This window comes from Homo sapiens, chromosome 9 (genome assembly GCF_000001405.40).
Source record: "Homo sapiens chromosome 9, GRCh38.p14 Primary Assembly".
In the NCBI taxonomy this organism is placed as follows: Eukaryota; Metazoa; Chordata; class Mammalia; order Primates; family Hominidae; genus Homo; species Homo sapiens.
In genome coordinates, this window is record NC_000009.12 from 94,355,147 (window position 1) to 94,377,389 (window position 22,243).

At 44.2% G+C, this 22,243-nt stretch overlaps 1 protein-coding gene and 1 long non-coding RNA gene across 5 annotated transcripts in view, besides 3 other annotated features; both read left to right on the forward strand.

Annotated features, from left to right (window-relative positions):
- The window catches only part of LOC100132077 (uncharacterized), a 28,473-nt gene extending 22,671 nt beyond the window's left edge, over window positions 1–5,802 (forward strand). Inside the window, exon 3 of the long non-coding RNA NR_033937.1 lies at window positions 4,339–5,802. This is a non-coding gene — a long non-coding RNA (uncharacterized LOC100132077). The remainder of the gene's footprint in view (window positions 1–4,338) is intronic.
- Window positions 19,191–19,692: an enhancer, noted in NCBI's record as "H3K27ac hESC enhancer chr9:97136619-97137120 (GRCh37/hg19 assembly coordinates)". NCBI's record gives its function as "activates a minimal SCP1, AML or CMV promoter by ChIP-STARR-seq in primed H9 embryonic stem cells {active_cell/tissue: H9 hESC(primed)}" and the evidence as "EXISTENCE:reporter gene assay evidence [ECO:0000049][PMID:30033119]".
- Window positions 19,242–19,641: a silencer, noted in NCBI's record as "silent region_20056". NCBI's record gives its function as "represses an Ori minimal core promoter by ATAC-STARR-seq in GM12878 lymphoblastoid cells {active_cell/tissue: GM12878}" and the evidence as "EXISTENCE:reporter gene assay evidence [ECO:0000049][PMID:35858748]".
- The window catches only part of SLC71A2 (solute carrier family 71 member 2), an 86,626-nt gene continuing 83,653 nt past the window's right edge, over window positions 19,271–22,243 (forward strand). For 3 of the 4 annotated variants that reach the window (NM_032558.3, XM_017015219.3, XM_047423972.1), the window contains exon 1: window positions 19,423–19,781. In NM_032558.3, the coding sequence (NP_115947.2) occupies window positions 19,674–19,781 (108 nt within the window). In that variant the 5' untranslated portion in view covers window positions 19,423–19,673. Of the gene's footprint in view, window positions 19,331–19,422; window positions 19,782–22,243 lie in introns of those variants that run through there. The other variant, XM_017015218.2, reaches the window with a different exon arrangement.
- Window positions 19,693–20,192: an enhancer, noted in NCBI's record as "H3K27ac hESC enhancer chr9:97137121-97137620 (GRCh37/hg19 assembly coordinates)". NCBI's record gives its function as "activates a minimal SCP1, AML or CMV promoter by ChIP-STARR-seq in naive H9 embryonic stem cells {active_cell/tissue: H9 hESC(naive)}" and the evidence as "EXISTENCE:reporter gene assay evidence [ECO:0000049][PMID:30033119]".

Below are 22,243 nucleotides of genomic sequence, written 5' to 3' on the forward strand. Positions count from 1 at the left end.
TAAATTAGACAAGTCATTCCCAGTATCTTTTTTTTTTTTTTTTTTTGAGATGGAGATTCACTCTTGCCCAGGCTGGAGCGCACTCACGTGATCTCAGCTCACTGCAACTTCCACCTCCCAGGTTCAAGCAATTCTCCTGCCTCAGCCTCCCAAATAGCTGGGATTATAGGTGTTTGCCACCACACCTGGCTAATTTTTGTATTTTTAGTAGAGACAGGGCTTCACCAAGTTGGTCAGGGATCCTGACCTCCAGTGATCCGCCTGCCTCGGCCTCCCAAAGTACTGGGATTACAGGTGTGAGCCACTGCGCTCGGCCCCAGTATTGTTTTGAGAATACTTTTGACCTCATAGACCGTTCTTCTAAAAAAAGATTTGGGGATTCTCCAGGGTTCCCTATGCCACACTTTGAGAACCACTGGCCTATGTTATAACTTTGCACTAAAGGAAGTACTTTTCTTCTTATGATTGGTTTTAGGGAAAATATTACTTTATCCTTCATAGAAAAAAATCATTTAACATATTTATTGATTGAATTATGATATATAGTCATAATTTTAAAAGTCAAATTCAGATGTTTCTTTTTTTTTTTTTTTTTTTTTGAGACAGAGTTTGCCCAGGCTGGGGTGCAATGGCGCGATCTTGGTCACTGCAACCTCCACCTCCCGGGTTCAAGCCATTCTCCTGCCTCAGCCTCCCAAGTAGCTAGGATTACAGGTGTGTGCCACCATGCCCCACGCCCAGCTAATTTTTGTATTTTTAGTAGAGACGATGTTTCACCACGTTGGCTAGGCTAGATATACAGATGATTCTTATACTTAAATGGTCACTTTGTTTATGATTTCCAGCAATAACCAGCCCTAGGAACCTTAAAAAACCTTCCTTAAAGTTTTTTTTTCAGGCTGGGCGCAGTGGCTCACGTCTGTAATCCCAGCGCTTTGGGAGGCCGAGGTGGGAGGATCTCCTTAGGTCAGGAGTTTGAGACCAGCCTGGCCAACATAATGAAACCTCGTCTCTACTAAAAATACAAAAATTAGCCAGGCGTGGTGGTGCACATCTGTAATCCCAGTTACTCGGGAGGCTGAGGCAGGAGAATTGCTTGAATCTGGGAGGCAGAGGCTGTAGTGAGCCAAGATTGCACCACTGCACTCCAGCTTGGGCAACAGAGAGAGTCTCTGTCTCAAAAAAAAAAAAAAAAGTTTTTTTTCAATTATAGGAGAGTAGATGTTTTCACCATATGAGAGTAATGACTTACAAATTATTTACTGTCAAAACTATAACATAGCCATTTCTTTTTTTTTTCCACCCCGAGACGGAGTCTTGCTCTGTTGCCCAGGCTGGAGTGCTGTGGCCTGATCTTGGCTCACTGCAACCTCTGCCTCCCTGGTTCAAGCAGTTCTCCTGCCTCAGCCTCCTGAGTAGCTGGGATTACAGGCGCACACCACCATGCCCAGCTAATTTTTGTATTTTTAGTAAAGACGGGGTTTCACCAGGTTGGCCAGGCTGGTCTTGAACTCCTGATCTCATGACCCCTGACCTCATGATCTGCCTGCCTCAGCCTCCCAAAGTGCTGGGATTACAGGCATGAGCCACCACACCTGGCTGCCATTTCTTTTTTAAAATGAATAATGGGATTTCTTGTAAGGAGTGGCCTATCATGGGTGAAAAGATGCTTGTATACCCCATTTCAGGTTATACTGCAGTGTTTGTTTTGTTTTGTTTTGTTTGAGACAGGGTTTTGCTCTTGTTGCCCAGACTGGAGTGCAATGGTGCGATCTCAGCTCACTGCAATCTCTGCCTCCCAGGTTCAAGTGATTCTCCTGTCTCAGCCTCCCGAGTAGCTGAGATGACAGGCATGCACCACCATGCCTGGCTAATTTTTTGTATTTTTAGTAGAGATGGGGTTTCTCCATGTTGATCAGGCTGGTCTCGAACTCCTGACCTCAGGTGATCCCCCCGCCTTGGCCTTCCAAGGTGCTGGGATTACAGGCGTGAGCCATTGCACCCAGCTCATACTGCACTATTATGTGAGCAGTACTATTCTTCTTGGAAGCCATTTGCTGTCTATAAGTCAGAAAGTTTTACTTCCTAAGAAACTTCATGAAATCTATAAGCAGCTTCTTTGAAGATGGCCTTTTGTAATCTGCATATGACCCCCGATTCTGAAACTGACTAGGACTGATTGCAGCATCAGGAAGGAGGAATTTCCTGCCTCTGTGAGGGTTGGGCAATGCAGAGGTTGGGGCAGGTGCCACCACCCTGGGGCTTAGACTCAGTTAGTTTGCCTGGGACCCAGCTCTGTGAGCTTAACCAATATCTCAGAGTAAAGGCTATTAAATAGGACAATCTGATCTGGTCTAAACTAATTTTGGCCTGGTACAATGGCTCACACCTGTAATCCCAGCACTTTGGGAGGTCAAGGTCGGAGGATTCCTTAAGCCCAGGAGTTTGAGACCAGCCTGGGCAACGTGGCAAAACCTCATCTCTACTAAAAATAAAAAATTAGCGGGATGTGGTGGCACACACCTATAGTCCCAGCTACTCAGGAGGCTAAGGTAGGAGGATCACGTCAGCCCGGGAGGTTGAGGCTACAGTGAACCAAGACGGTGCCACTGCACCCCAGCCTGGGAGACAGAGGAAGACCCTGTCTCAAACAAACAAACAACACAAGAAAATCCCATTATATTTGGAGTTGGCTGTGTTTCCCTCAGTAGGCAGGTTCATTATTGAGAGTTGGAGGCTTACCATCTAGCTAACATTTGTGGATGGTTAGACTGCTTTTCCCTGCCAGTCTCTTGGAAGCAGTCAAGGCAACCAGGCCTTTAGTGGAAAAAGGAGAAGAGACAGGAATACCAGAGGCAGTCCCTTAACCTTGGATTTCTTAGCCTCCATAACTGGAAGAAATACATTCATTTTATTTATAAATTACCTGGTTTCAGGTATTCTGACATAAGTAACAGAAAATGAACCAATATGGTACCTATGGTCCAAGATCTTTAAAGGGAGCTCCTAGGTCCAATATCTGGAAGAAATGTTACAACTAAACAACAAAAAGATTAAAATATGGGTAAAGGACTTAGACATTTCTCTAAAGATATACAAATAGTCAACAAGCACATGAAAAGATATTTAGCATCCTTACTTATTAGGGAAATGCAAATCAAGACCACAGTGAGGTACCACATCATACCTACAAGGATAACTATAATTTTTTTTTTGAGATGGAGTCTCACTCTGTCGCCTAGGCTTGAGTGCAGTGGCGTGATCTCAGCTCACTTTAAAAAGAAGGAAATTTTGGCACATGGATGAACCTTGAAAACATTATAGTAAGTTAAATAACTCAGTCATAAAAGGAAAAATACTGTATGATTCGACTTATAGGAGGTACCTAGAATACTCACAACCGGGCAGACAGAAAGTAGAATGGTGGTTATCAGGGATTTGGGGGACAGGGAGTGGAAAGTCTATAATGGACTTGGAGTTTCAGTTTGGGAAGGTGAAAAAGTTCTGGAGATGGACAGTGGTGACGGTTGTCCCAAAATGAGAATGTACTTAAATATTACAGAACCGTGTACACTTGGAAATGATTAAAATGGGCCAGGTGCGGTGGCTCACGCCTGTAATCCCAGCACTTTGGGAGGCCCAGGTGGGTGGAACACTTTGGGAGGCCCAGGTGGGTGGATCACCTGAGGTCAGAAGTTCGAGACCAGCCTGGCCAACATGGTAAAACCCCATCTCTACTAAAAATACAAAAATTAGCCGGGCATGGTGGTGCATGCCTGAAATCCCAGCTACTCGGGAGGCTGAGGCATGAGAATCGCTTGAGCCCGGGAGGCAGAGGTTGCAGTGAGCCAAGATTGTGCCCCTGAACTGCAGCCTGGGCAATAGAGGGAGACTGTGTCTCAAAGAAAAGAAAAAAGGCAATGGTTAAAATGATAAATTTTTGTTATGTATATTTTACCACAATTTTTAAAAAGAAATGAGGTATTGATACTTCATTGACAATGTAGATGAATCCAGAAAACATTATGACAAGTGAAAGAAGGCAGAAATTGAAGGTCATATGTTGTGGTATGGTTCCAATTATATGGAACGTCCAAGATAGGTAAATTCATAGAAACACAAAGCAGATTGGTGGGTACCAGGGGCTGGGGGAGGAGGGAACAGCGAGTGACTGCTTGATGGGTACGGGGTTTGGTCTCCTTTGATGTGAAGAAAATATTTTAGAACTACAGGTGATGTTTGTCACAACCTTGTGAAGATACTAAATGCCTCTGAAATGTGTGTTTTAAATTGGCTCATTTTATATTATGTGAATTTCACCTCAATTTTTTGCAACAGAGACTCCTTCAGGGTGAGCAAAGGCCTGGAAAAACCTGTATGCAGATAAAGAAAAGGAAAGAAAGAGATAATCAGTGCATGCAGTTGTCAGCTGGCTGGGACCTGAGGAGAGTCACTTGTGGAGGCAACTGGTCTTTATCCCCATTGTCCGGTACAAGGCAGGCATTAATCCTGTGATCCTTATCTGAAGCTCAGGTTTGATTTTATTCTTTTCTTAAGTACCTACTGTTATCCCCAAGCTTATAATAATAGTTTAATTGTTACAGCCAGTATCTCACCTTCAGAAGTAAGATGCTTAGGAAACCAAGACAAGGAACTGTGTGTTGCAAACAGCATCACCCTGGAGAAGAGGTGGCAGGAGGTGACCTACAGAAAATGGAGTAATAGCCTAGAGCAAGAAACACAGAACAAAAGAGAAATGAGGGGTTAGGCAACCTCCTGGAGCACCAATGGGACAAGCACATATTCAGGGGCCTCCTAACAGACTCGACTTCCAGCATCCTCAGATGGTGCTAGACACGTTACATAGACGTTCAAGAGTAGAGAACTCAGGGACTTCTGATTTATATCAAGAAATGCATACACAGCAGACGTGTGCCTGTGGAGTGGAATTCTGGAAAAGCTCACAGCCCAGAACATAATGCAGACTCCCCCAGCCACAGCACCTTCCAAACCTGAGAAGAGTGCTGATTCTCCATCTGAGCACCCATTCTCCTGCAACATCAGGGGAGAGGATTTCACCTAAGGGTCAGACCAGCATCTCCAAACCCAGCTCCCCACCTTTGCCTGTTGGTGGCACTTGTGGGAGAAGGGGAGATGGTATGAAAAGAGCCACAACAGGAGTCACCTGGACAGGGTGGAGCTTGATGGAAACTGACATTTGTGCCCATTGGAGGCAAATGTAGAATTTGGTATCTTCCGTAGCGTCAGGCACATGAAACTCTCCAGTGCCCATGACTTTTGACAGTGACTTCAGAGCACATCTGGGAGACCCATGTGGCCCAGGCTCCACACAGGCAGGAGCTCAGCTTCACTCACAGCAGGATTCCTAGTGCCAAGAACACCATAGGTGCATAGCAGGTGATCAAAATAATTGTATGTGGCTGAATCAGTGAGAGGTAAGAGAGAGGACTTGATCCTAGCTGCAAACTAAGAGACCTCATTAAAACCTAACATGTGGCTGGGTGTGGTGGCTCACGCCTGTAAGCCCAGCACTTTGGGAGGCCGAGGGGTGGATCACCTGAGGTCAGGAGTTCAAGACAAGCCTGGCCAACGTGGTGAAAACCCATCTCTACTAAATATACAAAAAATTGGCTGGGCATGGTGGCAGGTGCCTGTAATCCCAGCTACTTGGGAGGCTGAGGCAGGAGAATCACTTGAACCCAGGAGGCGGAGGTTGCAGTGAGCCGAGATTGCACCACTATACTCCAGCCTGGCAATAAGAGCAAAAGTCCGTCTCAAAACAAAAAACGAAAAAACAAAAAACACCTAACATGTGAGGCCCAGCATGGTGGCTCAGACCTGTAATCCCAGGATTCTGGGAGGCTGAGGCTGGAAGATTGCTTGAGCCCAGGAGTTCAAGACCAACCTGGGCAACATAGCGAGACCCTGTCTCTGGGAAAAAAAAAATTACCTGGGCATAGTTACAGTCCTAGCTACTCGGGAGGCTGAGGCAGGAGGATTGCTGGAGCCCAGGAGTTTGAGGTTACAGTGAGCTATGATTGCACCACTGTATTCCAGCCTGGGCAATGGAGCGACACCCTGTCTGTCTTCAAAAACTATATATATATGGTGTATGTGTGTGTATGTATGTGTATGATATCAGAAAAAAATAACCTATTCATGGTGGGGGAAAAAAGAGCCTGACTTTTGAGGTGTATAAGCGTGGAGTCGGGTTCAAATCAGGCTCTGATCTTTCTGGCTCTGTGATATGGGGCAGGGCATATTACCAAGCTCAGCCTCAGCATCTCTACCTGTGAAATGGGCTTGATTCAGTACACCACACAGGGCTGCTGTAGTATGTATGAATTAATGTTTGTGAAATATTTAGCATGGTGCCTGACACATGGTACTCAGTAAGAAACAACTATTGCTATTAAGTGCTTTGCACTTTGGTTTTCACAGAGCTAACAATTTTTACTGTCTAGCTTTGTGTCTTTGAAAGATTTTTGAGCTCTGAGAATGACCTTTTAAGACCTCAGCACTTCTAGAAGAGGTCACACTTTGAGCTTCAATAGCTAGCATTTTTGTCAATTAGTTAACAGTGTGCTGAAAGCAAGTCCCTGTAGAGAGTGTTCACGGGCATGAGCCACAGGGAATACAATGTGAGGCCTGTGGAGGTGGCAGCTGAGGATGTCAACAGGGAAAGCACAGAGTACCAAAGACAAAAGTTGCCCAGGACAGTTCTGTGTTAGCTACCTGGTGGCAGCCTGGACACCCAAAGATAGAGCTGAAGACACCTCTAATACAAGAGGCGGATGCCCCGGAGACGTGGCTGATTCCTTGGCTAATTTCCTCAGCCCCACCGTTGTGCAGCTTTGTGACTTCCTGGAGAGCCTACATGCAAACAGAAAAGTCCCAGGATAAAGAAATGTGGATATTCCACACATTTTAAAAAGACCTGGAGGGATGAAGAGGACAAGCTGTCCCAGTAGGCCCCGGACTGCCCTGGTTTTAACACTAAATGTCCGACATCCTGATAACCCTTACTCCCAGGCAAATCAGGCCAGTTGGTCATCTAATTGGAGGTTATCAAAGGAGGTGGGTTTTAGCATCCTCTTTCCTTTCCTGTTACATTGAGACCATGGGGTGCTATTGAATAAACTTGATTCGGTTTCTTCAAAAAAAGCCAGAAATTGATCTAATAGGTTTTGCTCATATTTGGTAATTGAATTGGACTGTATACAGTCTGCACGTTTACCTTATTTTCCATTATATAATGGTACCAAATATCACAATGATTTTCAAAAATTAATGCTTTTAGTGATGGATTACTAGGTGTTGAAATGCTTTATAATATACTTATGAAAACATTTATACAAATAATTTCATCCTCCACATGACATTTAGAAAAGTTTAGTCTGGCTGGGTACAGTGGCTCACTCCTGTAATCCCAGCACTTTGGGAGGCCAAGGCAGGTGGATCACCTTAGGTTAGGAGTTCGAGACCAGCCTGGCCAACATGGTGAAACCCCGTCTCTACTAAAAATACAAAAAATAGCCCAGTGTGGTGGCGCACACATGTAGTCCTAGCTACTTGGTAGGCTGAGGCAGCAGAATCACTTGAATCTGGGAGGCAGAGGTTGCAGTGACCCAAGATCACGCCACTGCATTCCAGCCCAGGAGACAGGGTGAGACTCTGTTTCAAAAAGAAAGAAAAGAGAAGAGAAAAGATGAAAAGGAAATGTTTAGTTTGAAATTCCGTTACCGAAAGTTCTCGGGGGTTGGGGGAGGTGGGAGGCAATATCTTTTTGCTATTATATTTCTTATAGTGCAGTGTCAGTGAAACTATGTCATCCTTTGTAAAATCAATAAAATCCCTGTCAATTTATCTGGCCATTCGATACTTTATCATCTATAATTTTTCAAGACATCTATTTGGTTGAAGTGTCTTCATCAATTGATGGACTGTACATCAGTCTGGTTTGGCAGTTTACATTGTATTTTCCTCTGAGTTTATCTTCTCTGTTTCATGGACTTCACTAGGGTCAGTGGTTCTTAAGTTGGATGATAAGAAACCCCAATCTTCCATACAGGGTACAGTTTGGCCATTGGTTTTAACTCAGGTCATGGCATAGCAGTTGCATTTCTATGGAAGCAAAGCTAACCTTGGAAATGGACTCTAATCAAAGACTCACTAACATCAAACAAGTCATAACCACATTAAGTAATGTCTTAAAGGCAAAAATCAATAGTAATTCACTTTGAGCATTTAAAGAGTCAGGCTCTCAGTCACTGTCTTTGAGATTATGAGAGCATAGTAGAAAACAGCTTGTCCAACTGCCTTATTTAATAGATGAGCTCATAGAAATGAAGTAACTCAGTCGAAGTGACATTGGTTTTCATGGCTAAACACAGGAACTGGAAAATAATGGGAGTATTGTTAGAAATTACAATAATATTGAAATTTGACTTCAAGCTAATGAGTCAAGTATGAAGATATTAACTTCACAAACTCGATAGCAAACATGTCCTAAGAGATAAGACAATTTTATTTAGCACTATCTTTTTTGTAAAAGATTTATAATAAGAATAAAGAAAACAAAGTTTGTATGCTAAGAGAACAATGCAATACTTCCATAATTTCTTGAACAACTGTAGTGAAGCCAGAGTATCCCAAGCTTCCCCAGCCTGAAACAGTCTACCACATGAATGTGAGGCTGTAGCCTCACACCTCCGAGCACCTCCTCACCATCCACATCTGCTCATACCGGTGTTTAGTCCCTACCTGAGTGTCACCTCGTCTTGTCCACGAGGACAAGCCCAGTGGACTCAAGTGCAAGTCCATCTGTATTCTTGGGCCTCTCTCTCATGATGGTGGCTTTCACTGTGATGCTTCCATGCCCTTTGAGCCCTGAGTGCAAGGCCAAGGTGCCCCCACAGCTTCCTAGTTGCTGCTGAGTTCCCCACCCCCCAGATGGGAGGTATGCACCTCCCATTCTGGGTCTCAATAGATCACCTGGGCCCCGGTCCTCTGAAAGCCTATTGAATACAAGTAAGTAACACAAGGCTGTTTTGTTCATTACCCCTATAATTCAAGAAATCCAATTTGCGAGACAGAATTGACTTGAGGCCAAAAACTCCAGGGTCATTCTGCCCCAACTTGAATCCTGGCACCACTTACTGCTATGTGATCTCAGATGCCATAACTAATCTCTCTAATTCTATTTCCCTGCATTTAAAATGCAGGCAATGCCCATGGTTTGCCCTAATGACTCAATGACTCTGTATTAAAGGGCTTACTATTGGCCTGTCATGTCTCAATAAATGTGTTACTGTTCTTTCTCTGTGTTGACACTGGATGTACAATTGCAAATAAAACACACACTTGTCTTGGGGATGCTTGCAGTCTAGTGGGCCAGTTGGATTTATTTCAGTTCAACTATTGGTTAACAGATGAACAATAAAAAGTATTGCTGTAAAAAAGATGAACGTCCAGAAAGAAAGAGTCTGTCTGGTACACAAATAATTGTGATAAATACAACAAAAAAAATGTGCACAGGGTAAAAAGTAACAGGGAGAGTGACCAGGAAACTTTAAAATTATAGTAATGTGATCCAGGCTACATTCACTGGCATTTCCCAAACACTCTCCACAGGGGAACCAGGATGGGATCAACCCTAAGACCTTCTCACTCATCCAACTAAAGGCAGTGAGGAATGGGAACAGACAGAAAGGGATGGTTTAAGCCAACACTCAAAGTGTTAAAATCAAACCAGTGGAAAAGGATCAGCTGACCAGGCTGAAGGGAGAGGTAAACTAACCAAATGAGGTACCACATTGCTCAGCGAGTCAACAGCAAAAAGACAAGGGTCTCGGCTGTGGCTTCCACTGGAGTTTGGAGGTACGGAATTTTCCTCCTATGCAGTGGCCTTCAGTGTTGTGCTTGTCGATCCTTAAAAGAATGTTGATCAGGTGCGGTGGCTCGTCCCTTAAACCCCAGCACTTGGGGAGGCCAAGGCAGGAGAATCCTTGAGGCCAGGAGTTTGAGACCAGACTGAGCAACATAGTGAAACCAACCTTGGCTCTACAATGACAACAACAACAACAACAACAAACTAGCTGGGCATGGTGGTGCACGCCTGTAGTCTCAGTTACTCTGGAGGCTGAGCTGGGAAGATTGCTTGAGCCCAGGAATTTGAGGCTGCAGTGAAGTATGATCATGTCACTGTACTCCAGCCTGGGTGATAGAGTGAGACCCTGTCTCCTAAGGAAAAAAAAATGTTAATAAACTGTTTAACGTCCCCCCCCTACACTTTTAAGTTGACATTTACATTTATCATTAGTTTGTGATAAAGAATGTATTTTCCAGGATATTGTAGACTGGCTTTCAGTATATTTTTGTCAGACTTTTGAGGCCAATTTGGCTCTTTTGCTTAATGGAAAATGGGAGTGTTTAGGTCTCAGGGTGTGCTCATGAGCAGGCTGGGATGGGTGGGAGGCTTTGGTGAAGTGGCAGAAGGGTGATTGGACTGGGAAGAAAAGAGGAACTTGCAAAACAGAGACACTTCAGGGAGCAGGTTAGCTGTAGGAAAGAGTACACACCTAGGACGAGGGCCTGGAAATTGGTCATCTAAAAGCTATCCATGGCCACGTAACCCCTGAAAAGTCTTTCCATATTACAAGGGGTATACATACCCCAGTTTGAACACCAAAGCTTAAGTTCTCTCAAGTTCACAGTATATGCCAGGTTGAGTGAATTAAAAAGTATAGCATCAGGGTAAACAATGATAGTGCTAGGCAAAATTACTCAAAACGTGGAAACAAAGTAAAGAGATTCCACTTCCATCAATGTCATGCTATAAGACGATTGTCTGACAAACCCATCCAAGGGTCTTCTGACTCTCAAAGGGTTTTGACTATTTATTTTTGATGTTATTACTGGTAGGCTCAGATATTTTACAGCCCTGTAAAGTTAGAAATTATCTCCTAAGAAACTGATGAGTTGGTTTTCTTTTCCATGGTGGAAAAATGAGATCACCCCAACTGCTACAGTTTAATTGCCCAATAGGACATTAACTAGGGCTGCATCTAATGTGCCAATATTAATTCATCCTTCCATTTTGTTCACATTGACTGTAATAATCCTCGTTTTTCAAATTCTCTTTTGAACCCACTTTATGGGTTCCCTTATTACCGAGATAAATAAAATGTTGGCATGTGCTCACTATCTCTTTGGATAAGATTATGTTTTTTGTTTGTTTGTTTGTTTTTGTTTTTTGAGACGGAGTCTCGCTCTGTCGCCTGGCTGGAGTGCAATAGTGCAATCTTGGCTCATGCAACCTCTGCCTCTCGGGTTCAAGCAATTCTCCTGCCTCAGCCTCCTGAGTAGCTGGGATTACAGGCACCCACCACCAGGCCCAGCTAATTTTTGTATTTTAGTAGAGACGAGGTTTCTCCATTTTGGCCAGGCTGGTCTCGAACCCCTGACCTCAAGTGATCCACCCACCTTGGCCTCCCAAAGTACTGGGATTACAGGCGTGAGCCACTGTGCCCGGCAAGATTATGTGTTTTTTTGTTTGTTTTTTGTTTTTTTTAAACATTCAGAGAACTATATGTTGACAGAAATCTAAACAAAGTGTACAGAAGGTGCAAGGAAAGGTTTTGCAATACGGAAAGGAAACTTGGGGAAAACCTGGTGGAGACCATACCTGAGCTGAGTCTTAACAGGAGTTAGAATACCTATAAACAGGAATTAGATAAATGGCTGGAGGAGAAGGAGAAAGAGGCTATTTCAGACTGAGGGAGCCTGACAGATGATGGGAGCCCAATGATGTGGGTGTAGAAAAATGCCAGGAGATAAGGCTGACAGGTGGGGAGAGGCCAGAGCCTGAGGCATTCATGTCATGCTAACGCACCAGAGCCTTTTCCTTCATGAAAACGGGATATCTTGAAGAATTTTTAGCAAGAAAGTGATGTAGTAAGATAGATTTGTATTTTAGAAAGACCATTTTTTTCCCCAAACTTTTAGGTTCAGGGGTACATGTGCAGGTTTGTTATATAGGTAACCTAGTGTCATGGGGGTTTGTTGTACAGATTATTTTGTCGCCCAGGTACTAAGCCTAGTACCCAATAGTTATTTTTTTGAATCCTCTCCCTCCCCCCACCCTCCACCCTCAAGTAGTCCCCACTGTCTGTTGTTCGCCTATTTGTGTCATTGAGTTCTTATCAATTAGCTCCCACCTATAAGTGAGAACATGTGGTATTTGGTTTTCTGTTCCTGTGCTAGTTTGCTAAGGATAATAGCCTTTAGCTCCATGAGTGATCCAGCAAAATATATCATCTCATTCTTTTCTATGGCTGCATACTATTCCATGGCATGTATGTACCACATTTTCTTTATCCAATCTGTCATTGATGGGCATTTAGGTTGATTCCATGTCTTTGCTATTGTGACTAGTGCTGCAGTGAACATTCACATGCATGTGTCTTTATGATAGAATGATTTATATTCCTCTGGGTAATATACTCAGAGATGGGACTGCTACGTTGAATGATAGTTCTGTTTTTAGCTCTTCGAGTAATCGTCACAGTGCTTTCCACAATGGTTTGCACTAATTTACACTCCCGCCAACAGTGTAAAAGCATTCCCTTCTCTCTGCAACCTTGTCAGAATCTGTTATTTTTTGACTTTTTAATAATAGCCATCCTGACTGGTGTGAGATGGTATCTCATTGTGGTTTTGATTTGCATTTCTCTAATGATAAGTGATATTGAGCTTTTTTTCATATGTTCATTGGCCGCATGTATGTTTTCTTTTGAAAAGTGTCTGCTCATGTCCTTTGCCTACTTTTTAATGGGGTTGGCTTTTTTTTCTTGTTGATTTGTTTAAGTTCCTTATATTAATAGAGCCTGGATGTGAGACTTTTGTCAGATGCATAGTTTGCAAAAACTTTCTCCCATTTTGTAGGCTGTTTACTCTGTTGACAGTTTCTTAACTATGTAGAAGCTCCTACATTTAATTAGATCCCATTTGTCAATTTTTGCTTTTGTTACAATTGCTTTTGGTGAGAAAGACTAATTTTGTGTGAAGAGTACAATGCATAAGTGGAAATGAACCCAAAGATGTACAGCAAACTGCTGAGAAATGGGAAGGGTATGAACTAAGGCAGTAAGCAGGCATAGAACAATCTGACATATAAAATAAATAGGGCACAACAGTTGCTTTGATGGAGTGGTGAAAGAGATAGGAGGTGAGAAAGGGCATAAGCAAGATTTGATCATTGACTATGCGAGGGTGACAAGGAAAAAGAGGGGCTGACCTACATCAGCAATTCCTGCTTCTGGCATAGAGATGGTATCACTTCTGTTGCGAAGACTACAGGGACAGCAGGCAGCATGCTGTATATATTTCTAGCATGTGAAACGGAAGTAGGGCAAGGAAAAAAGTCCTTACGTTCCTACTTTTTACATGGTTCACACACATTGTAGAATAAACCCTTTGCCTGGGTCACGTAAAATTCTACCTTTTTATTATTATTATTATGCTTTAAGTTCTAGGGTACGTGAGCACAGCGTGCAGGTTTGTTACATGGGTATACATGTGCCATGTTGGTTTGCTGCACCCATTAACTCATCATTTACATCAGGTATTTCTCCTAATGCTATCCCTCCCCCTGCCCCCCAACTCACAACAGGCCCCCATGTGTGATGTTTCCTGCCCTGTGTCAAGGTTTTCTGTCCTTGTGATAGTCTGCTCAGAATGATGGTTTCCAGCTTCATCCATGTCCCTACAAAGGACATGAACTCATCCTTTTTTATGGCTGCATAATATTCCATGGTGTATATGTGCCACATTCTCTTAATCCAGTATATCATTGATGGACATTTGGGTTGGTTCCAAGTTTTTGGTATTGTGAATAGTGCCACAATAAACATATGTGTGCATGTGTCTTTATAGTAGCATGATTTATAATCCTTTGAGTATATACCCAGTAATGGGATCATTGGGTCAAATGGTATTTCTAGTTCTAGATCCTCGAGGAATTGCCACACTGTCTTCTACAATGGTTGAACTAGTTTACACTACCAACAGTGTAAAAGCGTTCCTATTTCTCCACATCCTCTCCAGCACCTGTTGTTTCCTGACTTTTTAATGATCGCCATTCTAACTAAAATTCCACCCTTTGTATAAAACATTTGCCCGGTCCATTTGACTCTGAATCACCTTGGTATGTATAATTGCCAAATATACTTTTTTTCCAGATGGCAATTCACATCTGCCTTTTAGCTTAGTGCTGAATGGAAGGCAAATAATTGAGGAGGTTCAGTAAGGATAGTTCTCCATTAAAAACAAAAGAAAAAAAAAGAGAAAAAAAAGCGCCAACCTAACTGAATACTCTCAGATAGGACTGATAATGCATTGCAAATACTGAAAACAAGTTTTCATTAGAACATTATCTTAAACTAAAATCTGTTGCCAGTCGCAGTGGCTTACCCTTGTAATCCCACCACTTTGGGAGGCCAAGGCGAGCAGATCACCTGAGTTCAGGAGTTTGAGACCAGCCTGGCCAACATGGTGAAACCCCATCTCTACTAAAAATACAAAAGTTAGCCGGGCGTGGTGGTGGGCACCTGTGATCCCAGCTACTCAGGAGGCTGAGGCATGAGAATTGCTTGAACCTGGGAGGCGGAGGTTGCAGTGAGCTGAGATTGTGCCACTATACTCTAGAGTGACAGAGCGAGACACCGTCTGAAAAAACAAAAAAATTATCTAGGTGTGGTAGTATGTGCCTGTGATCCAGCTACTTGGGAGGCTGAGACAGGAGAATTGCTTGAGCCCGGGAGGTGGAGCTTGCAGTGAGCCAAAATTGCACCACTGCGCTCCAGTCTGGGCGACAGAGCAAGAATCCATCTCAAAAAAAAAAAAAATTATCTGGGTGTGGTTGTATGCACCTGTAATCCCAGCTACTTGGGAAGCTGAGACAGGAGAATCGCTTGAGCCTGGGAGGCAGAGGTTGCAGTGAGCCAAAATTGCACCACTGCACCCCACACTCCAGCCTGGGTGAGAGAGCGATATTGCATCTCAAAAAAAAAAAATCTGTGAAAATAAGTTTATCTTAACACATTGTTATAATTGCAATTACAAAGTAGTGCTCGGAACAAACAAAATTAAGTGAAGTGTGTTTTAAACATTTAGACAATTATCGTAAGACAGTTTGTTATCCTTTCACACAGGGAACAGTAGACGGGTGGAGAAACAGCAACAAAGATACCATGTGAAGGTATTGCTTTATACACCTTGGCTTGGATCTGGGCCATGCAGGTGCCAGCTCTGGATTTCCTTCCCAGCAGACAACTGCCAGTACAAGGAGACTCACAGACATTATTGAACAACCCAATTGCATCATACTTTAAAAAAGATTCAAATTATATATAAAAAGTGATGAATTCAATACCACTTCCCCCTTTCTGTTGATTACAAATTGACCACACAAGGGAATATTTAGGGTCTTGTGGCAGTAGATGCATAACTACCTATTTCTCTTGAAGTCCTGGTCTCAAGTGATCCTCCCACCTCGACCTCCCAAAGTGCTGGGATTACAGGCCTGAGCCACTGCACCTGGCCCATCCATTTGTCAAAATCCACAGAACAATACACTGCAGAGAGTTAACTTTATGCAAATTAATGTGGGATCTTAGGATAGAATGGCCAGCACGACAAATGAACTTAATTATATTACAAAGGTATGGCATAACCTCACCAAAGTGAGTGGGGAAAAAATAAATTGAGTAAATAAATAAAAGTTTGATTGATTACTCAATCAAAAAAGAATTGATTTGAGTAAATAAGAAAGAAATTGAATTGATTTGGAAAACTGTTTTGACTGGCTACTTTCAGGATAAAAACAAAAAGAACCGTACATAAACACTGTAGTTGGAAAACTTGCTTCCACAGAGTTAGAAATTCTGAAACTACATGTATTGTTAACACACACACACACACACACACACACACACACACACACACACACAAGTAGAGAGAGAGAGAGCACAGCACCCAGATCCATATCATTGCTGGGAGAATTAGTGGTGCTGCCCATAGACTCTACTCAGAAAGGACAACTGGAAGCTTGTGCGTGGTCTCTCGTGGACTCTGCTGCCTCTTACCTTTGCTATTTTCATCTGTATCCTTTCACTATAATAAACTGTAACTATGAGTAAAATAGCTTTTTGGGGTTCTTCTAGTGAATCATTAAACCAGAGGATAGTCTTGGGGATTAAAGACTCTCAGTTATTAGATACCCTATTTTAGCATTAAGTTTAACCCAATCTTAAAATCCAGCTTTAAGACCAGATGATTAATTTATTTAAAGCGAAAAATCTCAACAAAAATATTAAATAGAAATCAGCAAGGCTAGGCACGGTGGCTCACGCCTATAATTCCAGTACTTTGGGAGGCTGAGGTAGGAAGATTGCTTGAGCCCAGGAGTTGGAGAACAGGCTGGGCAACACAGTGAGACACTGTCTCTACCAAAAATTAAAAAGGTAGCCAGGCATGGTTTTATGCACCTGTGGTCCCAGCTACCCAGGAGGCTGAGGTGGGAGGATCACTTGAGCCCAGGAGGTCAAGGCTGCAGTGAGCTGTGATCGCGTCACTGAACTCCAGCCTAGGCGACAGAGCAAGACTCTGTATCAAAAAAAAAAAAAAAAAAAAGATCAGCAAATTGTTTGAATTTCTCCTCTTAGGAAAAAGAACTGTATTAGCATATGTTACTCTGATATAGCTGATATGGCAATATCAACCATCAAAGATATAATGGTATACTTATCTGGTATAATTTATAAGTTTGCCTCAGTAGAATCACAGCCTATTCTGTAGTTAAAAATATACACTGCTAGTATTATAGCAAACTTTAGTGGCTTTTGTGATAAAGAAAATAAACTTCAAAAAACTCCATTATTCCCTCTAGGATAACTTTATTGTAAGTCTATTTAAGAAAACAGTCCAGGCTGGGCATGGTGGCTCATGCCTGTAATCCCAGCACTTTGGGATGTTGAGGCAGGCGGATCACTTGAGGTCAGGAGTTGGAGACCAGCCCAGCCAACATGGTGAAACCCTGTCTCTACTAAAAATACAAAAATTGGCTGGGTGTGGTGGCAGGTGCCTGTAGTCCCAGCTACTCGGGAGGCTGAGGCACCACAATCGTTTGAACCGGAGAGGCAGAGGTTGCAGTGAGCTGAGATCGCGCCACTGTACTCCAGACTGGGCAACAGAGCAAGACTGTCTCAAAAGAAAACAAAAAAACAGTTTACAAACTTTTCTGTTTCATGGATACAGGAATCAGAAACTGATACCCAAGCTCATAAGTGGCATAAACATAATACTCAAACAGCATAACATAATACATATATTCCCTCTGTGTTTTGAAAACTATTTGTTAAAACAATCATTCAGAAAAGTAGACAAATCAGGCTGGGTGTAGTCGCTCACGCCTGTAATCCCAGCACTATGGGAGGTCGAGGCGGGTGGATCACCTGAGATCAGGAATTCGAGAACAGCCTGGCCAACATGGTGAACTTGTCTCTACTAAACATACAGAAGATAGCCAGGTCGTGGCATGCACCTGTAATCCCAGCTACTCGAGAGTCTGAGGCAGGAGAATTGCTTGAACCCAGGAGGCACAGGTTGCAGTGAGCCGAGATCGAGCCACTGATCTAGGCTGGGCGACAAAAGCGAAATTTCGTCTCAAAAAAAAAAAAAAAAAAAGAAAAAAGACCAGGCCGGCTCGGTGAGCCGAGGGGGGCGGATCACTTGAAGTCAGTAGTTCAAGACCAGCCCAGCCAACATGGTGAAACCCCGTCTCTACTAAAAATACAAAAATTAGCCGGGCATGGTGACGCGCACCTGTAATCCCAGCTACTCGGCAGGCTCAGGCAGGAGAGTCGCTTGAATGCGGGAGGTAGAGGTTGCAGTGAACCTAGATCACGCCACTGATCTAGGCTGGGTGACTGTAGCCTGGGTGACAGAGCAAGACTCTGTCTCAAATAAATAAATAAATAAATAAAAGTAAAGACTTCTGCAAAGTGTGTGTGTGTGTGTTTGGGGGTAGTGGGTGGGAAGCGAAAAAGAGGCTTTTTTTTTTTTTTTTTTTGGAGACGAAGTCTCACTCTTGTCACCCAGGGTGGAGTGCAGTGCACCATCTCGGCTCACTGCAACCTCCGCCTCCTGGGTTCAAGCGATTCTCTTCCCTCAGCCTCCCAAGTAGCTGGGATTACAGGCATCCGCCACCATGCCCGGCTAACTTCTGTATTTTTAGTAGAGACGGGGTTTCACCATGTTGGCCAGGCTGGTCTGGAACTCTTGACCTCAGGCGATCCGCCCACCTCTGCCTGCCAAAGTCCTGGGATTACAGGCGTGAGCCACCACGCCCAACCTGAAAAAATTCTTAAATGAAATGACTTTAATTCAATTAAAATTACTAATCCTGTTAATAGAAATAATTTTATTCTTTTTTCTATTGATGTTTGTAAAAAGATTTTTTTTTTTTTTTTGTGAGACAGAGCCTCACTCTGTCGCCCAGGATGGAGTGCAGTGACGCTATCTCGGCTCACTGCAACCTCCGGCTCCCAGGTTCAAGCTATTCTCCTGCCTCAGCCTCCCGAGTAGCTTGGATTACAGGCGTGCGCCACCAAGCCCGGCTAATTTTTTTGGTGTTTTTTGTTTTTGTTTTTGTTTTTTAGTAGAGACAGGGTTTCACCGCGTTGGCCAGGCTGGTCTCTAACTCCTGACCTCAGGTGAACCAGCCGCCTCGGCCTCCCAAAGTGCTGGGATTATAGGTGTGGGCCACCGCTCCAGGCCTGTAGGCTTTTTTATATTTCAGTATTAGGTGCATATCTTTCAAAATAAATAAACATAAGCCAGGCTTTTCCAACTGCGTCCTACACATTCTACAAGATATTAATCATGTGTCAAGAATAAAAAGTGTTGTGTTCAAGTACGTTTGGGAAACATTGCTAGTATATTATTTTCTTCTTAGAGAACCATAGAAAAACTTGAGAGGTTGGCGGGTTGGCGCAAACCAAGACCAAAACTGAACTGCAATCACTACCAAACCCCCACGAGTTTGCCCCTCCCCGCTTGCTAGCCTCAGTCCAGATTCTCCGGAAAAAGAAATCAGTCGTACGGGCTCTCGAAATGACGTACTTCCCGCGCGCCGCGAAGTCCTGATGCCAAGGGGCCAGTCGCGAGGTAAAGGAGGGGTCTCTGAAGTGGGCGTGGCGTCGCTGGAGGCTACTCAGGCGCGGGACTCGTTCTCGAGGCGGGAGCTGAGGTGCGGGGCGGGGCCTCCTGCCCGGCGCCGGCCTGTGGGGAGGCGGGGCGGGGCACAGTCTCTTAACCGTGCAGCCCGCCCCTGACGCCGCCGGTAACTGCGAGAGTCGGGGTCGGTGCGGTTTGATAAGTGGTCGGTTCCTGGAGCTGCGGTCTTCTGCTAGCCTGATCCGCAGCTTCAGCCTCCGCCGCCTCCTCAGCCCTCGGCGCCGCCGCTGGCGCCGCCGCCTGACCCGCAGGCCGCCGCGGGCCGCAGAGCCCATGAGGGCGCGGGCACCGCCGCCGCCTCCGCGGCGTCGCCGTCGTCCCGGAGCGCCCCGGGCTGGCGCGGGCATGGCCGCGGCATGAGCGTGGAGCCGCCGCCGGAGCTGGAGGAGAAGGCGGCGTCGGAGCCCGAGGCGGGAGCCATGCCGGAGAAGCGCGCGGGCGCGCAGGCCGCGGGGAGCACCTGGGTGAGCGCGGGCGCGGGGCCCGGCTGCCTGAATCCCGGGGAGGCTGGGTGGGGTCGCACCCAGGGCCCGCGAGCCCGCCGCTCCGGGCAGGGGCTTCGGCTCTTGGAAAGTCGGTCCTTTTCTGGGGGGGGAGGCGAATTCATCACGAATACAGGTTTTTCCTAGTGACTGCTCATCGCAGACAAAACTTTACAGGATTTGGTTATTGTTTCAAAAGGCGCTAGACATGGGACAGTGAATATAAGTAGTAATTTGGTTATTTCGGAGTTCTCCGTCCCTGTAACAGTTGATAACAGTTTTCCTGGCGCAGTTTCTCTCCAAGTCTACATGGAAAACAGGTAGGGAGCATTTGAATCAGACCGTCGACGGGGAAGTTGGCGGCAGATGCCGGGCAGCGCCTTGCTGCTCCTTCCGTGTTCTCCCGGCGTCGGAGGGGCGGTCCTAGCGATGGGGAGCAGAGTTTCCAGGGGCGTTGCTGGGGACCAGCCGAGGAGCAAGTTAGGCTGGCCTCTTTCTCCAGTTTTACTTTTGCTTGAGGTCGAGATGGCTTCTGACAATGATACAGAAGCAATTGAGCCCTGACTTAACTGGCCTGGTTTCGGCAGAACAGGCCTTGTCTGTGTCAGTGGTTTCATATGGTGCAATATTAAGCCTAGAGGGTTTGTCGTTTCTTCAAGGCCTAAGTTTAAAAAGGATTTTTTTTTTTTGGTCTTAGGACCTGAAATATAGAGAATGTTACAGTGAATAGAAACTGACACAATGGGAAAGTTTTTCCAAAGAAAAGTAGAAATTTTATGGAAATTAAATACATGTTTTTGGCTTTAGATTTTTAGCTTACATATCTGATTTTGTGTTTAGTTGAAGAATGCTAAGTGTTTACATGAACGTATTTGGGGATGTAAATCCCTATTAGTAGGTTGGGAGGGCAGCTGAAGCAGAAGGAGCAGTAGGTAGAACGGATCCGGCAGAGCTGGTTTTTAGTCCTGGTTTTGCCTGAACAGTGCGCACTCTGGACAGGGTATTGAAACAGCCTTGCCCCTCAGTGCCTCCTCTGTAAAATGAGGACTTAGTTGAAGTCCCCTCCCAGCCCAAGTGACTCCCTATTTTGAAAAGCATTTCAAAGTTAAGATCTCTGTAATATGAGAAGCTTATTTTGTCGAGGGAGAGAAATTCTGTATAATTGCTTGCTCTCATTTTGATTCGCGTTAAGTAGACTTGTCCTCTTCCTGCTTGCTACACAAAACTAAAGCACCAGTTCCTCCTCCTGTCTCATGAATTGATGGACAGTAATTACTAACCAGTGGCCCAGCTAGTAACCTGCGAGGTAGCTTCCTTCATCCCTTCCCATACTTAAAACAATCAGAAAGTCTAGCTAAGTTTATTAGATACAGATTTTAGGTTTTTATCCTCTCCTATGCATTCTTATGCTCAGAATTTCCTCAGCATTTTTGACCCAGACTTTGACTATCTCTTTCAAGACCCTTGCTCACCCCAGCGTCAGTCCACCTTGCACGTGGCTGAGTAGTGTGTTCTAGCATGTAAAGATGATCATTACTGCTGTCCTTAATTTTTTTCATTGGCTCCTTATGGCTTACAGAATAAAAAAATAAATTGGCAGGTTGAAGCATTATTAGTATAGTGATTAGACGAGCATGCTTGAAATCCCAGTTTCCACAGTTCGATAAGTTAACGTAACTCCTGATTAATAATGGCATTTACCTCAGAGGGTTGTGAGGGTTGCTGCAACTTGGCATCTAGTAAGCCCCTTAATACATACTAATGTTGTTAGTATTTTGTAATATTCTTTGCATGTATGATTGAATGATCACAATCTATAGGTGATCTGACCGTGATAAAAGTAGTTGTCTCCCATTTCCTAGTGTTGACAGGAACTAGACCCCAACCTAGAAATTAAAGTTGCTAAATTTGTGTGCTTAAGAGCAGAAACTTGCGAGGGATGTTTACTCAAAGAAACCTAGACTCAGTTTATTCCCCAGTTCTTTCTCCGTTGGATCCTGATGGTAACCTAATTTTGGGCACAGGTAGATTCCTGCCTGGTCTTTCCTCCTCTCTGAGAACGCATGGAGTTGATGTTAATTGTGATGAATACTGAGTTTTCTTGGTGTTTGCTGTAGATAGTGAGAAGGCTAGCATGAGCAGGTAGCAGTGTTTTTCTGAGTGTGTGGACGTTGGGAGAACAGTGAATGCTTTTAATCATATATGTTTGTGTCATATGCTAGTACCCCTGAATTATGTGTTTTTCCTGTTTGCAGTTTCTAATGTCACCTCCGGGTGCTGTGTCCTATAGCCCCTATATGAATTGATTTCATTTTAATGTGTTGGAATTTCCTTACAGCTTGGTTTCAGTGACACTCATGATTTCAGGTTCTTAGATGCTACTAGTAATCACAGGGAAGATTGTCCAGCTGATAACTTTTTTCTTTTTTGTTTTCTGTGTTTTT